Below are 18,303 nucleotides of genomic sequence, written 5' to 3'. Positions count from 1 at the left end.
CAGAAGCTTTACACGGATGCAATTACTTGCCCTTAAATGTCATCTTGTCCTTTTTAAAAGGCAAAGAGAGATAAAAATCTCAACAAGAAAAAACAAGAAACAAACACACTGGTCTGAAATACAACCCAGGATGCAAGATGTAAGATATCTCATCTGCTAGTATTAAAAAGAAAACTTTATAGAACTCCTTCTACCTATCAGAAGGAGTTGAGAGACAGAAGGCACTACCTTAGTGTGCAAGACTATGTTTTAATAATGGATATACAGAAAATACCTTATTACAATAAATCTTTTAAAATAAAAGAGCCAGCCATGGTGGCTAATGCCGGTAATCCCAATACTTTGGGAGGCTGAGATGGAAGGATAGCTTGAGGCCAGGAGTTTCAGACCAGTCTGGGCAGCATAGCGAGACTGTGTTTCTACAAAAAAATTTAAAAATAAAATATTATCTACAAAAAATTAAAAATATTACCTGGGTATGGTGGTGCGCACCTGTGGTCCTAGGTACTCAGCAGGCTGAGGCAGGAAGATTGCTTGAGCCCTGGCATTTGAGACTGCAGTGAGCTATGATCACACCACTGCACTCTAACCTGAGCAACAGAGGAAGATCCTGTCTCAAAAGAAAAGGAAGGGGAGGGGAGGGGAGGAAGGAAGGAAGGAAGGAAGGAAGGCAGGCAGGCAGGCTGGCTTTTATCGGCTGGTAAAATATCTGAACAAAAAGAGTATAATTTTATATTTTTACCCTCAAGATTCTGTCCTAAAAATCTGATGCATCCCCCCTCCACCACCATCAAACAAACAAATAAAAAACCTAGAAATCAGACAACAGGCACAGAAAGAGAAGGAGGAATAATGGGAGAAAAGGATGGTGAAAAGACTTATGGGATAATACGAAAACTGCTCTAGTAATAGCTGATACGCAAAGCTAATTATCAAGCAGTTTTCCCAGTCATGAAACACTAAAATCTTAGGAGAAGATACAGATTGAGGATGACAAGGCATAACTCACAATGACTATAACCGACGTTTAAATGCTATTTATACTGATATTGAATTAAAACTAAGATCACTATTGTTATCTCACTTTGCAACAAGCCCTTAAAATAAGTTTTTCCAAACACTGGGGAAACACTCCAGGACACTGATCTGGGCAAAGATTTTCTTTTTAAGACTTTAAAAACACAGACAACCAAGCCAAAAATAGAAAAATGGGATTACATCAAGTTAAAAAGCTTCTGCACAGCAAAGGAAGCAATCAACAAAGTGAAGAGACAACCCACAGCATGGGAGAATACACTCGCAAATCGTCCATCTGACAAGGGATTAACAACCAGAATATGCAAGGAGCTCAAACAACTCAATAGCAAAATAACAAATAATTTAATTTAAAAGTGGCAAAAAGATCTGAATAGATATTTCTCAAAAGAAAACATACAAATGGTCAACAGTATATGAAAAGAATACTCAACATCATTAACTATCACAGAAATGCAAATCAAAACCACAATGAGCTATCATCTCACCCCGGTTAAAATTTATATTAAAAAGACAGGCAATAATGGATGCCAGTAAAAATATGGAGAAAGGAGAATCCTCGCACACTATTAGGGAGAATGTATATTAGTAAGGCACTATGGAGAACAGTATGGAGTTTCCTCAAAAAACTAAAAATAGAACTACCACATGATCCAGTAACTCCACTACTGGGTATGTGTACAAAAGAAAGAAATACATCACAAGGCATCTGTACTCCTATTTTTACTGCAGCATTATTCACAACAGCCAAAATGTGGAACCAGCCTAAGTGGCCGTTAATAAATGAATAAAGAAAATGCGATATAGATATACACAATGAATTAGGAATGAAATCTTATCATTTGCAGCAACACAGATAGAACTGCAGGTCATTAAATGAAATAAGCCAAGCACAGAAAGACAAATATTGCATGTTCTGACTCATATGTGGGAGCTAAAAAGGTGACTCTCATGAAGATATATAGATTGGTGGTTACCAGAGGCCAGGAAGGGTAGTGGTTGAGAAGGGGATGAAGAGAAGTTGATTAATGGGTACAAATATATGGTGTGATAGAAATAATAAGACCTAGTGTTAGATCAGTAGGGTAACTACAGTTTACAATAATCTATTTTGTATTTTTAAATAGCTAGAAGAATTTGAATGGTTCTAATATAAAGAAAAGACAAATATTTAAGGTGATGGATCTATATCCCAAGCACACTGATTTGAACTTTACAAATTATATGAATGTATTAAATTATCACATGTACCCTAAAACCATGTACATCTATTATGCATCAAATTTCTTAATGAGAAAAAGAAACAAAAAGAGAAAAATAATAAGTTCTTCTACGCACCTTAGTATTTCATTTCTTGTAATACTTTGTTTTGTTTAGCATTGCTTAGGGCTCTACTCAGGAAATTTTGAAGAAATTTTAGTTCTACTTGTGCAATATGAAATCTTCAGAGTAGAATTCTAAAATTTCAAGTACCAAGTAGCAAACTCTTCCTACTGTCAACAACAACCGAAAAAAGCACCAAATTCACTACTTCTTATATTCACATTCAAGTTAGGCCCCATATCTAGGACATTTAGATTGCTCATTGGCACAATTTACATTCTGAAGAACTAGAGTCTATACCTGTCAAGTAGCTAGATGAGACAAAGGATGGTATTTTTCCATCAAATTCGTTTATTCTCAGATGAACTATATGACTTTGCCAGCTAATTGTATTTCCCTAACAAATAGCTCTTCTCTGGGTAGTATTTACAAACCTTTGAAGAAGGTGACATTCCAACATTATTTTCGATTCCACAACCCAATTAAAAAATTATTTAATATTTTTCAATGTAAAAGATATTTTTATTTTGGGCTGGGTGTGGTGGCTCATGTCTGTAATCCCAGCACTTTGGGAGGCTGAGGCGGGTGAATCACTTGAGGTCAGGAGTTCGAGACCAGCCTGGCCAACACGGTGAAACCTCGTCTCTGCTAAAATTACAAAAAAAAAAAAAAAAAAAAACAATTAGGCGGGCATGGTGGCACATGCCTGCAGTCCCAGCTACTCAGGAGTCTGAGGCAGGAAATTCGCTTGAACCCGGTTGCGGGAGGTTGGAATGAGCCGAGATCACGTCACTGCACTCCAGCCTGGGCAACAGAGAGACTCCGTCTCAAAAAAAAAAAAAGAGAGAGAGAGAGAATTGGAAGTGACAGATATGTTCATTAGCATGATTTAATTATTGCACATTGTATTCATAAGCCATAAGATCACTCTGTACCATGTAAATATACACAACTACAATTTATCAATTGGCAAGTAAAAAATGTAAAAGAATAAAGAGAATTGCACAAACTCCTATAGACAACAACTTTGGATAATCCAAAATCTTTTTGATAACTTACTATTAAAATGATGTCACTTACCAATTCCAATAATCTCAAACATTCAAAGCACAGTCATGGACTTAGAAAGCAATGAAAAAGAAAATCTGTGAGACAAGCAGCTGCCACAAAATGTATCCTCTTTACTTCACCAAGGAGAATCTCTTAGACTAAAACTTAGCAACTCTGTGTAAAATAAGGACCTAGTAAGAATGGATGTCTGCAAATTCAGGGAAGACCAAAATTATAAAAAGAGGAAAAAACTTTCTTCTATTATCAGAAATTAAAGAACCACACTTTAAAAAGAAAATTAAAGGGCTAATAGAAGTCTTGCAGGGGGTAAAGTGGAACCATCTTATCTTTTTCAGGGGCAATTGGAGAATGTGTATTAAAAGCCTTAGAGTACACATAATATTTGATGCAATCATTCTACTAATTTATTCCAGGGGAAAAAAGAGAATAATGAAAAAATGTATGCAAGAGGATAGTAATTACCACCTTATTCATAATAACCAAAAACTCAAAATAACTTCAAATATCCATCAACAGAAAACTGACAAAATATACTGTGGTAGAGCCATGTAGCAGAGCACAACTCAGGCATCAAAAATAATTACATAAATCTGTAATTACTGACAAGAAAGATATGTTATTAGGTTTAAAAAACAATGCACACAAATAGTATGGCCCAAGAGAAGTTGGTTAAAGAGTACAAAAATAGTTAGCTAGAAGGTATAAGTTCTAATATTCAATAGTATAATAGGGAAATTATAATTAACAATAATTTATTGTATATTTCAAAATAGCTAAAAGAGAAGAATTGTAATATGCCCAACATAAAGAAAAGCATTCGAGGGGACAGATAACCAAATTACCCTGATTGATCATTGCACATTGTATATAGGTATCAAAATATCACATGTGCCTCCAAAACATGTACAACTATTACATACCAATAAAAAGGAAAAAAAGTGAAAAAAACTGTATGGCCCAATTGTTGTTTAAATATATATAGGTGTATTAAATATAAATAATATGTGCATGTGAGTTTGTATTTATGGCTAAAAAATAACTTGAAGAATATATACCAAAATGTTAACATTGGTTGTGTCTGAATGGCAGAATTTCAAATGATTTTTTTTAACTTTTATTTTAGGTTTAGAGGTAAATATGCAGGCTTGTTATATAGGTAAACTCATGTCACAATGGTTTGTTGTACAGATTACTTTGTCACCCAGGTACTAAGCCTAGTTCTCAATAGTTATTTTTTCTGATCCTCTCCCTTCTCCCACACCCTCCAGACTCAAGGCCCCAATTGTTCCCCTCTTTGTGTCCATGTGTTCTCATCATTTAGCTCCCACTTACAAGAACATGTGGTGTTTGGTTTTCTGTTCCCGTGTTAGATTGCTGAGGATGATCGCCTCCAGCTTTATCCATGTTCCCACAAAAAACATGATCTCGTTCTTTTTATGGTTGTATAGTATTCCATGGTGTATATGTACCACATTTTCTTTATCCATTCTACCATGGATGGACATTTAGGTTGAGTCCATGTTTTGCTATTGTGACTAGTGCTACAGTGAACATATGCCTGCATGTGTCTTTATGGTAGAACAATTTGTTTTCCTTTGGGTACATACTCAGTAATGGGAGTGCTAGGTCAAATGGTAGTTCTGTTTTCAGCTTTTTGAGGAATTGCCACACTGCTTTCCACTAGGGCTGAACTAATTTACACTCCCACCAACAGTGTATAAGCATTCCCTTTTCTCCACAACCTCATCAGCATCTGTTATTTTTTGACTTTTTAATAATAGCCATTTTGACTGGTGTGAGATGGTATCTCATTGTGGTTTTGATTGGCATTTCTCTAATGATCAGCAATGTTGTTGAGTTTTTTTTTTCATACTCCTGTTAACTTGTGTGTATGTCTTCTTTTGAAAAGTATGTGTTCATATCCTGTGCCCACTTTTTAATGGGGTTGGTTTTTTCTCGTAAATTTAAGTTCCTTATAGGTGCTGGACATTAAACCTTCATCAGATGCACAGTTTGCAATATTTTTCCCCATTCTGTAGGTTGTCTGTTTACTCTGTTGATAGTTTCTTTTGCTGTACAGAAGCTCTTAAATTTAATTTGATCCCATTTGTCATTTGTTGTCTTTGTTGCAATTGCTTTTGGCACCTTCATCATGAAATCTTTGCTGGTTCCTATGTCCAGAATGGTATTACCTAGGTTGGCTTCCAGGGTTTTTATAGTTTAAGGATTTACATTTAAGTCTTTTATCCATCTTGGATTGATTTTTGTGCACTCAACAAATATTAGCTATTGTTACTGTTTAATTATTATTTATTGTTTACTACTGAATCGAAATGAAAACACAAATATTTACTGGATGCCTACTAATATTTGCCAGTTATTACCAATAGTACATATCATAATTATTGAAAAATTGTAATTCAGAGTATAAGATAATGAATAATAGGTATTATCTTTATAAAGTATAAGTAGAATCTTTTTTATTGCAAAGTTCTCTGCATTCACACTACACTGGACTTTTCATTTAAAGCTAATTGGTCTAATAGGGGTGTTTTTATTCTTCTCACTATTATAATGAAAGCCTATTTGCTGTTATTTGGAAGATAAAACACTAGTATAGGTTTAAATTTGCTGCAGGAACTTAAACGAAAGGTTTCACTGGAGACATGGCCTCATTGGAACATCCTATGCCATGGAAAAGTAAATAAGAAGCTATGGTAGGCTGTGCTTGATCAAAATTATTTAAAGTTTTTGAAGAAACAGGGAAGGGTGAAGAAACTAAATGGAAAGATACAGAAAAAAAAAGATCTTAAATAACGATTCCTCAAAATAAAACATACATACACCTTAAACGTAATGAAAACAAGCTACTGTTGCTTACTTCATCTTTACAAGGGCCTTATAACGGCTGCAATAACAACAGCCACCCTGCATTGTCTGCTTTCTCTAGGCTAGGCACTGTACTACACTTTACATCCATTGCTGTATTCAATCCCACTGCAAGTCTCGGGGATCAGTAGCATTACTTTTTGTTTGTTTGTTTGTTTGTTTGTTTCAGCTAAGAAAGTTGGAGGGGAAAGCTAGCAGATCTCAGAAACAAGTTGAACTGAGGTTTTCTCCATAGAAAAGCATCAGTCACATGCTCTTCCAGGTTCAGAGAACAAAGGTACTCCACTCATCCTCTTCACTCAGTAATAATGCTCACTGGTCTCTTTCCATTCAGGATTATACCTATAATAAAGTTTGCCCCCATTGAAAAAGACAGAAAACTTCAGCTCCTACTTCTGTAAATGACAGCTGAGTAAGTTGGGCAAATGGTTCATATACCACCACACCCTGCTGAGTGATCCTCTCTTCATAATCAAAGGTTGAGAACTCTGAATAGTCCACTTCATCAGTACAGAGTCAGAGTACAAAGTTAAACAACTACTGAATTCCCAAGTCAGTAGCCACACTTAGTATAAATGCACATATTTTTATACTGCAAAAAAAAAGGTGAAATTAGAGTTTCATACTATTAGCCCATAATTAGTCTACAATACAGCATAAACTATGATCTATATCATACATAGATGCATAATTTTTTACAAATGGAAGAAAAATTCCATTATAGATATCTAAGGTTTTACTCTTACCATGTAACATATGTGTCTACATTTTTTAGTATCAGATTTATTAATTCAGCTTAGCAGTCAAATACTATTAGACTTAAATCCAGGCTCTGCCTTTTCCTTGCTGTTGATCTGAGGAGTTACCCGTTGTGTTTGTTGTGGTGGTGGTGGTGAAGTGTAAAATGGAGATAGTGCCATTTATTTGACAGGCTCATTGTGAGAATTAAATAAGATGATATATTCAAAGAGCTAAGCATGGTACCTGGTACATAGTTAAGTGTTCGCTGAAACTGTAGGTACTATTATTATCACTAATGTCTCCTAATTTTCCAACTATGATGTATACTACTAAACTACAATATATATTACAGCATATCAATGGAACTTATCCAGGTGGGAGTCTAATATTTTTATTAGAACCTGGAAAAGACAGTAGTTTAAACTGTGGGTCTCTACATTTCCTTCTTGCTGTTCCCAGATATCATAACCCCCAAAAAGGGCATTTTGGGGAATCAACCTCTTTCGAAATCACCAACATCTAGTTTTGAGGAAGTCTTTACTTGTAAATTACGACAAATACTAAGCCTTGTGAGATTCTGAATTGAAATAGCCAAGTAAAGGATTATTTTACAACCACTAGAAAAATCTCAAATCAGACTGTATTCATAGTAATGATGAATTCATAAATACTGACAATCAAATTTAAAATACACATTTTAAATCTCATCTTAAATAACAGTACAGCAATCTACCCTATAACAGAGAAGAAAAATATTTTATGCTTACTTTTATAATTATATATATTTTAGACATATTGGACAATCTAATGAAAGAAGCAATGAGTATTTTTTTCCTTGTAGAGCATTAATTTGGTACTAATAACAAATTAAATTAGGATATGGAGCATATAAAAAATTAACATTGCTCCACACACACACTGACATTAATTTTCTATAAAATTAAAATTCCACAGGGTCATAAACTAAAATGAAAAAGATTATTTTAAATCTCAACATGTGAAAGACACACTAAGTTTTAAGAGATATTTCTCCTTTTAAATACACTAAAAAATAGAGTGCTATTGAACAAGGACAGTCTCTTTTGAAATATCATGCTTCCTATAATTTACATAATGTTGATAGTTTTCTTTTTTTAATGAAGGTTTTGGGCATTAAAAGGACACACTGAATTTCATTTTGTCAGATTAAGAAAAATAACCTTAAGGAAAAAATTGATCACAATAATATTAATACAATAGTGACATAAAATAGAAGGATACCTACAGCATCCGAAAATGAATGTTTCTAAAAATAAGTTTATTAGTGTACTTTAAAGTTATTTGAGTTCTTATGATTTGATATTTTAAGTTTTATAAATGAAATGACCCAATTTGCACATCTTACAATGTTCACTAAAACTAAATATTAAAGGGTAAAATACTCTTCAATAGAAAACACAGATAAGTTTAAGCTTTGCTGAAATTAAATTACTTCATAAGAAATGTTGGATATATTTTGGAATTAATATTGAGATATTTCAGGTATCTCTTTTGATGTTTACAACTAAAGTGATTTATTATTTTATTTTTTTTCTAAAATTACTTATTTTCAAACAATAAAAGCAACAAATTGAGACTTGCTTAAAGAGGTAACAGCCTAGTGTCTTATTGTCCTCTGCTGATAGGAAAGTATTTTCTTTTAATACTGTACTTTGCCATAAAACACATTTTTCCTTGGTAAAAACACTTTTCTGGATTATTTTAATAGGCTAGTTCTAGGCTTTAAAGAAAAAAACAATATTTTGTAAAGTATACTGTTACATGATAGAAGAAAAATGAAGAAACATCTATTTGCATCTCCTTTAAATTATTCACAATACTTTGAGGCTTTCATTCTCTCCAGTTAGTGCAATTTATTTTTCTATATGTCTCAGTAGCAAACAATGTTATTTAGACTCTAACCTGGCATGCTACCACCTCTGGCCCGCCCTTGAGCCCCTCCATTGCAAAGGTCTCCAGGTGCAGTTTGGGTAGCTGTAGGGTGAAGTCATTCCTACTTGCCGCAGACCATGACAGCGAGATCTGATCTCTGACCTAAAGGGAAAAAAACAGCATCAATGGTAATTCCCCTTCAGACACATTAACTGGGATGAACTGGGTCCCCTTGAGCCCACTGAGTGGACTTGCATTGATCGCTGGACCTGAAATCCATGAATAAATTTAGGACTAATTGATTTTTCGTTGCAAATAAATCTCTAATTCAGAGTGCTGGGGGAGAATGTTAAGAAGAAAAAGCATCCTCCTGCTTGAAATGAGGGAGGGGAAGAAGAGTCACTAGAGCTCTTCTGATCAAGAGGTTTTGAATTATTTTTTCACAGTTCCACCCTAAAAAGGAAGAAAAGAAAAAACATTCACAAAATCAAAAACAACAGCCATCTCCTAATCATTATCACCTGCTTAGTAACATGTGGTGTTTAACTGATATGAACTGATACATATTGGACAAGATAGTTATTAGGTACTAGTCTTTGAAAAGAAAACTTCAATAACATGTACTCTAGAATCAAAACAAATATACTCAACACAAAAGGAGACTTAAAAATATACAAGAAAGAGGTTTGTTTGCCCTTTTCACTCTTCTAGAATTGCAGGATTTTATTAAACTTGAGTCTTAATGATTAAATACATATAAACCAACACAGTCACACAATTTCTAAACAATACAACAGATAAAATCAGTAGTATTTGTACTCTATTTTAAGTATTCAGAAAGCAACAATACAAACACATCACCGATATGGGAAAAACACCAATTCTCTAGTCAGTATGGAATCACATGCAGTTGATATCACACTGCCACCTTCTGGACAAATGAGAAAATATTCCTTATATAATATAAATGGAAACATTCAAAAACAGATATTTTGGTTTTTAATTTCCAAACTTAGTAAAAGCCTTAAGAATTCCATAGTTTCGTTTGCATTTAAGAACAAAAAGCTCTCATTTTAATCATATAGTTTAATAATAGGAGTTTTCAATACATAGGCATATTTTCTAACTTTCCTTATGCTTGGAATAGGTTTTAAAATTTTATCTATTTGTTACCATATACTTAATAAATATTATACAATTAGCTCAATGCCACAGAACAAAAAGTTTTTTATCAGGTAGCGAAGGTCAAAAACAAGGTTAACTATAAAAATTGCATTAACTGCTCAAATAAATATATTTCTATCTCTAGTTTTATCCAAGCAACTTCAAATATAACTTGGCAAAAATACAAGATAGAAAATTTCTCCTCCATTTTTCTAGCCTACTTGGGAAGCTTGTAAAACTGTTTGAATTATTTTTATTGTATTAATTAGTTCCTTAGGATATACACACATTTCACAAAACAAACTCTATTGAGTTTCTTTAAGCCAGCAAACACACACAAACATATAACGGCATCTTTAACTGTTCACGCTAATCTATGGGCATAAAAATCCTTATATGTCCCAAGCTGATCTGAAGACTTTCTGTCAATAAGAGAATGTCAAAGTGTATGCTGTAAAACATACACTATGATGTAATTTTTATAATGATGTGAGTACCACATGCATGCTGGAGTCTCAATTCACAATGTATATTTATCTGCAACAAACACTCTCCAGAGTCTTCACTCAGGATAAGAATGCTGTTAAACTTACTTAGCATAACAAAACAAATCGTATTTTACAACTACATTTGTTTTAGGTTTTATATTTTACATGTATGAATACCTTCTCTTGCTTTTTTTTGTCACCAATGTGCACTCAGATAAAAGAAAACATTAATGTGGATTAAGGTTCTGAGAATTTATCAACATCAAACCACTAGTGTTTTGCCTTCTACCCTTCTGAACCACAGTCAATAGATCTAAATATTTTACTGCACCCTGGCCAATTCATTGTTTGATGTTTAAAAACTCACCCAGAATCAAAGAAAATTTATTAAATTTGAGCCCCCAAATGAGATACTATTAGCTTTGAAAGTCAAGTTTAACTGCGATATTGATGATTCTCTTTTTTCTGTGACAAAATTCACTAGGGAAATCCTGGATGTCAAAGTACAAAAGCAGATTGCTAATACGGGCAAAGAGAGGGGAAAAAAACCATAAGCAATGTAAGTATAATCCACAACACAGTTCGAGCACTGGAGGTCCTTTAACCTGATTAGCATCAGGCACCATACTTCATCCACGAAGCTTGACATACAGTGAACAGTAAGCCACATTTTATATTCTCTAAATAAACTTTATGAACATTGTTAAGCTGTGGCATCTTGCTTTTGAAACTGATTTATTGTCATTTCAATATTTTTGGTATAACATTACTTAATTTGCCAAATTAAATAATTCTTTATATTGAATAAAAAAAACTTGCAAAATGCAGCTATTTTTGCTACACCTAATGATGAACATCATAATCATTTGAATAATATGCATGCTTTAATACTTCCATTTAATTACAAATTATCTGTTGAATCAACTTGACAGTGCCATCAAGAGTGAGAGACCCATGATATATAATAGATGCAATATCACAAATACTTCTACTAAAATTTTAAGAGTTTTTTCCACTTTTAAATTAAACGAGAACTTTGAGAGTAAGTATCTAAAATGTTCTCAAATATTTCTAGGAAAAGTTTTTAGAAAAGTCTTGTAAAAGAATTATCCATAATTTTATTTTAATGAGTAAAGGGAGTGAAAGCATCATGTTGAAAGAATCCAAAACAGTGACACTAAGACAAGCAAAAATAAAATCATGCAGCAAAGGAGAAGAAAAGAAAGATGACAAGAAACGGAAGAAATAAAGGGTAGAAGGAAGAGACTTCAGAAAGAATGCAGAAGGCAAGTCTGAATTTCAAGGTGTCAACAGGGAGATTCAACACAGAACAGTAAGAAAGGACTCTTACCTTGTTGCATTAAGTTCGTTCATGAAAAGAAATAGAACAGGCAGGCTGAGAACAAAGTAACTAACATATTAAAAGAGAGATAATTTGGAATTTCTTTAGGAAGTACAGCTTATTGGATACAAAATTATTTTCAAGAATGAGGATCTAAAGCAAATTAGTTACTGTCAAAAAAAGTTTTGAAGTAATATTAGAATAGTCAAATTATTTTTTTCCTAAAAGGAAAAGTTTATCTTTTAAAGTACTGAGTTTAGTGTGAATTAGGAATAAAATTCACCAGCAGTCACCTGTCTGTAGATTAAATTATAATTTCAAAAGCCAATCTTTAATTATGTTTATAATACATTATTATTCATCCTATAATCAAGATTCTATGCCTTTTTATTCTCATTTATCAATATGACTAATACATGTATACAATGTTTTTCTTCTTCAAAACGCCTAACAGCTCATTTTTAACATATAGAATTTCCCAATATAAATCTGTTATCAAATGTTATACATTCTATAACGTTCTTTAAAATCATGCAATATCATATTTTAGAATAATTTTTAAAACCTATATTACTTCTACTCTAAAATTTTGATTTTTAGAAAGAACAGTTTACTTTCTCCCTTTCTTATTACATGCTTTCAGAAAGGAGATATCTCTAATAGACATATCATAAAAAACAGGAGAAGAAAATAAATAAAACTTTCTAAAAAGTCAAAACAGTTCCATGAAATATATTTATTTCAAGATAAATATATTTTAAAATATATTTTACTATAATAATCCAGTTCTAGATTTTAAGTGATCCACAAGATCCATACTGTACTATTCCTATTTCTCTGATTAGCCTTTACTCACAAGTAAACAATGTTTTCTAATTTTTATGCTCCTACCAAAACAAAAAAAAAAGCTATTTCTGCTAGATATCAACTATGAAATTAAATTAGTCATTTCTAGAAAAATTGCTCAACTCCCTCCATCTTTTATCATGCACAGCTATAAATCCCTCTGGACTCTATGTTCCAATTAAAAAAAAAACACACACTCATGAAATGATTTACTAGCTGTATTTTTACCAATTGGATACCAAGCCAGAAGACCTCAAGGTATATATAAAAACTGAGGTTGACTTAAAAACACATGTAAGAAGATGTATACAGTGTCTGAATCCTGAATGCCTGGGAAAGGCAACTGATATTAGGGCTTCATGTCATACTTTTAATCTGCTTCAATTGTATTTACTCCAATCTATTATGGCCTCCGATGCTTCAAAATAAACCTTTTTACCAGATATAGATCCATATGAAAACAGACCTCTATAATATTTCTTATAATCTCCATTCTCATTATCCTGCATTCATGTTGTACTTTGCCTCCATTTTCTTGCCCTCCTTTGTCCTACTCCCTCCCTTGTACTTCCTTCCATTCCCACTGATTCCTTACTGCTTCCCTTTCTTCCTTTTATTTTTCATTCTATGCACTAGAACAGCCTACATACTATTTTTCAACCTATGCACCAAAGAGCAGTGTACAGTCAGCACACTACAGCCTGAGAACCAAATCCAGCCCACTGTCTATTATAAATAAAGTTTTATTAGAGTTATACCCATTCATTTACCTATTGTCCATGGCTGCTTTCCTGTTACAATGACAGAGTTGAGTAGTTGAGACAAAGACCATATGGTTCACCAAGCCTAAGATATTTACTATCTGGCCTTTACAGAAAAACTTGGTCATCCCCTGCTCTGGAGATATAGAAGAAAGATAATATTCTTTTATCACCTATAAAGTTTTTTTTTAAATGACTATCTCTCACCAGAGAATCTACAAACAATTTCTAGTGAGTCAAGTTTATATCGCCAATACAGGGTGCCATCTCAAAGACACTTTGTTTCCTTTCTTCAATTTTTCCAGAAATCTGTATACCGTCTCCTGATACATTTTCAAGTTTTATATAGTCTAGTACACATCTTGACTGGTCCTAACTTTCCTGACCACGGCTAACTTTCCTGGTCACAACTACTGACCACTTATTCTAGTACCTAATTAACAGAAATTCTGGTTAAACAAGTAGAAAAGGCATACTGGAGAGTCTTTTGTAAATACAAAGAGAAGGGAACTAGCCAGAGTTAACCATATACTCTGTAATACACAGTAGCAAAAAAAACAAAAACAAACAAAAAAAAAACACTACGCTTTCAGAGGCTCTTAGTAAGTATGATCAGATAAGAACACCGTTATAAACGCATGAATTCTACAATGTAGAAGAAAGAAAAAATAATTTAAAAAAAATTAGACAGTTCCAAGACTCTGATATGTACCCAGTGATAGGAGGAAGCATCAAAGTGTGTCAATGCAATGAAAATGATATTCAGGGATAGGATGGTTACATCTAAATGGATACTTTCCTCCTTCTTTAACCTTTTCTTTAACTATCTAATTAATCAAATGGACAGACAGATAATAATACTACTTCTATTAGTAATAATACAATTAGTACCTCCAAAAGTACTTCATACTTTTCAAAGTTCAGTTGGCCCCCCATATTTGTGGGTTCCATATCCATGGATTCAACCATGAACTGAAAGTATATATTTTAAGCTGCATCTGTCCTGAACATGTACAAACTTTTTCTCCTTTTCATTATTCCCCAAACAATACAGTATAATTTAGATAGCACTTACATTGTATTAGGTACTATAAATAAATCTAGAAGCAATTTAAAGTGTACAGAAGGATGTGCATAGATTATATGCAAATACTACACCATTTTATATCAGGAACTTCAATATCATGGATATTGGTATCCACAGAAGGTTTGGGAACCAATCCCCAAGGAAACCAAGGGACAACCGTACTCTCCATACTACGTCACTTGATTCTGTTACCCACCTTGTGAAATAGTTATTGCCATCTCTAATATGAGGATACTAAGTCTAGTGCTCTTAGCGCCAAACAATAATGCGTTTTAATATCTATATATGAACAATTAACAGTTGAAGAAATTACTTAAGATTTTGGTACTTCCATTTCCCTATCTTTTTTCTTTATATCTATTGTCTGGCAATCTTAGCAACAATGTTTGTTTCATAAAAGTGGTTTTGTGATAATCAATGAATATTAAACATCTTTATTTTCCTCAATAGTTTCCTTGCACCTGTGGGCATCCTCATTCATTCATATCCTCTCTCTCTCTCTCTCTCACACACACACACGTGTACACACATGAACACAATTATTACACTAAGAAACAAGTTACCTGTGTAGCAATCATCCTTATACAATGATCACAATGTCATAATGGAGGATCCCCAAACCACAATGTCCCAGGATATAAGCAACAGTTCCAGCTGTGTTCCACACCTACTGGAAAGAGACCTTGACACTCTCTCAGCAGAAGCAGGCATTCCATTGGCACTGCAGCAAGCATAGAAACTCATAATTTGAAAAGTGGGAGGTAAGCAACTAGCCCTCTTTTGCTGGCAGGTTATTTAACTTAATCTACAACTCTGGAGCAAAGCCAGAACTCTCCCATGACTGCCAGCTGCTGTCACCAGAAAAGAGGGCAAAATCCACCACCACAACCACACCACACATTATAGTTACATCCCAATTACAGAAATAAAAAAACTGATCTCTTGAATCAAATTATCAATCTGGCTACATCCCAATTAAAGATCTAAAAAACTGACTATTCAAATCAAATTATCAAGCTGGAAAATAGGGTGATTTAATCATGGACATCTTATAAAGTCACTATATAACATGATAAATCTGTAGCATAGGCTATATACTATAGAATGCACCTCACAGAGTGCTTTGACCTTGAGCTATTTAAACAAACAAAAAAACCATACTTGAGAATAGAATTGATAACACTCATCCACACAGATATATTTTCATTCTGAAGATAAATTATTTTAAAGGATAAAGACAGATACACGCTGAAATTAGTTATTTAGATGTGTTTAAGCTAAAAACTGCTAAGCACATGTACATGATATTCTGTAGTGTCTTATCTTTAGTTTGTCAAGGTTTTAAAATCCCTCTTGAGCTGGAGTATCATTTTTAGCTTGGCTAGGTCAGAATGACACCGAACAATATGAATAATGACACACAAGACAGCTATATGGACAGAGTTGTCATCAGCAAGCCAGCTGTGTTAACACCTGTGTGTCCTGCACAGCTGATCTTCAGGAACCAAGATCAAGAAACTGAGAATAGAGTTCAAAGACCGTAAGTAACATTTAGAGAGTCATTGACAAGCCACTAAAAATTGGGTTTTTTAGAGGCAGAGGATCATGTTTCAACTTTTAAAATACTGTCAGTTTCATAAATTAAAAATTATTCTTTGTACTCCTTATAAATGCACGGAAAACTAAAAATCAAAAATAACTATATATTATTATTTACTCTGGTTAATCACTGTTAATGTAAAATTATAAAATTATATTTAAAGATTTGGTTATACAGTGTCTTCATCTATCATATCCTGTTTGACACTATTCCATTCCACAATCCACTCTAAGAATAGAAGTAATCATCTTTCTATCTCATAGGAATCAAACTAGTCATTACATTACCTGCAAATTCATTGTTAGCACACCTCTTTCCAAGAGATATTCTGACAACTGAATTTAGGCTTTCTCCTCTAGGTCTTGATTAGGCAAAGTGAAATACAGATGCTATTTTTAGTAATCAAATAAACAAAGCAGGTGACCATATCAGCAAAACTTCCATTAGAATCTAGAGATGGCTTATGTTATATTTAGAGACTATATGCTGGTAAAATTTGACTCATTCCACAAACATTCATTAAGTGCCTACTGGGTACCAGGCACAGTGATAGATGCCAAGAATATAAAAATTAAGGAGACAGAATTCCATCCCTCAAGGACTTCAAACTCTAGTAGCATAATTAATCTCTTGAAATGCATTTTCTAGCTTCCCATTTATCTATAATGTCTTGTTTCTCCTGTCAATTGCTATACTGCCTTCTTTCTTTGCCAGAGTATTATGTTAGTCAATCTCAAACCTTTATCTTTAGCCCTGACTTTCCCTTGAGGTTCAGACTCACACATCCTGCTGATCATTCCACATTACCTTACATTCAGTATTTCCAAAACAAAACTCATCATTGTCTCCTTTCTCCCTACTTAATAAAAATAATTAAAGCAAAAAGGCTGCTTTCTGTATTCCCAGCGTCCTTTGCCCCATCAGGGGAATCATCCTCCCCTGCCTCTTTCTCATCATCATATGCCACTTTGCTGAATAAGTTTCACATCCTTCCTTCTGACACCACCTACCATCACTCTTCTGGTTCAACCCTTCTGAGCCCCCATCTAGCCTAATGCTACAGCTTCCTAATAGAGTTGTCTATTCAGACTTGTGGCTCTTAAAACCACTTTTATTACTCACTATATCCAGTTTGCAAAATGTGCTCTCTAGAGCTCAAATTTTATAAGAAAATCCAACCACATCAACCCCTAGCTTAAACCCTGGTTTGCTCCCCACTCCTTCCATTATATGATCCAAGGCTCTTAGCATGGCAAAAAAGGCCTTCCATGACCTAGCTACTACCTGCCTCATTGAGCTTTATCTCTTTTACTCTTTTTGCATTTAATATTGAACTTAGAATATTTAGTCATTCATGCTTCCATGAACTTGTTGCTCATGCCACTTTCTTTGCTAGCATACTTTTCCCTTCTTCCTCATATTTTGAGGCCCCACCCAGGCATTAGTTTTCTTCTAAGAAACTCCAGGCAATCCCTGAGTTTTCTAAGTATGCCACATATGAGAATAACTATCTATATAGAACTGTGATACACACACACACACACACACACACACACGCACGCAGAGTTGAACTTTGAACAACATGTGGGTTAGGGATGCCAACCCCCACAGAGTTGAAAATCCATGTGTAACTTCTGACTCCCCCAAAACTTAACTACAAACAGTCTACTATTGGAAGCCTTACTGATAACATAAACAGTTGATTAACACATATTTTGTGTTATGTGTATTATATACTATATTCTTATAATAAAGCTAGAAAAAAGAAAATGTTATTAAGAAAATCGTAAGGAAGAGAAAATATATTTACTATTCATTAAGTGGAAGTGGATCATCATAAAAGTCTTCATCCTCATATTCTTCATGTTGAATAGGCTGAGGAGGAGAAGGAAGAGGAGGGGTTGGTCTTGCTGTCTCATGGATGGCAGAGTTGGAAGAAGATCCACGTATAAGTGGACCCACACAATTCGAACCCATGTGTTCAAGGGTCAACTTTATATACATACATACACACACACACAAATATGACAAATATACATATATAT

At 33.8% G+C, this 18,303-nt stretch overlaps 1 protein-coding gene across 35 annotated transcripts in view; it reads right to left on the bottom strand.

Moving 5' to 3' along the window:
- CCDC171 (coiled-coil domain containing 171) overlaps window positions 1-18,303 on the bottom strand; it is a 556,042-nt gene that overhangs the window by 225,263 nt on the left and 312,476 nt on the right. For 29 of the 35 annotated variants that reach the window (XR_007061261.1, XR_001746227.3, XR_001746228.3 and 26 more), the window contains one exon: window positions 9,001-9,132. The exons of 4 other annotated variants lie outside the window; for them this stretch is intronic. Coding sequence is in view for 26 of the 31 variants with exons in the window: in XM_047422930.1 (XP_047278886.1) it covers window positions 9,001-9,132 (132 nt within the window). In the remaining 5 variants the exon portion in view is untranslated. Of the gene's footprint in view, window positions 1-3,810; window positions 6,911-9,000; window positions 9,133-18,303 lie in introns of those variants that run through there. 2 more of the 35 variants (XM_017014442.3, XM_047422939.1) reach the window with 1 other exon arrangement.

Source organism: Homo sapiens, chromosome 9, assembly GCF_000001405.40.
Source record: "Homo sapiens chromosome 9, GRCh38.p14 Primary Assembly".
Lineage (NCBI taxonomy): Eukaryota > Metazoa > Chordata > Mammalia > Primates > Hominidae > Homo > Homo sapiens.
The sequence above is the reverse complement of the archived record's forward strand: the minus strand, read 5'-3'. Positions and strand labels throughout refer to the sequence as shown.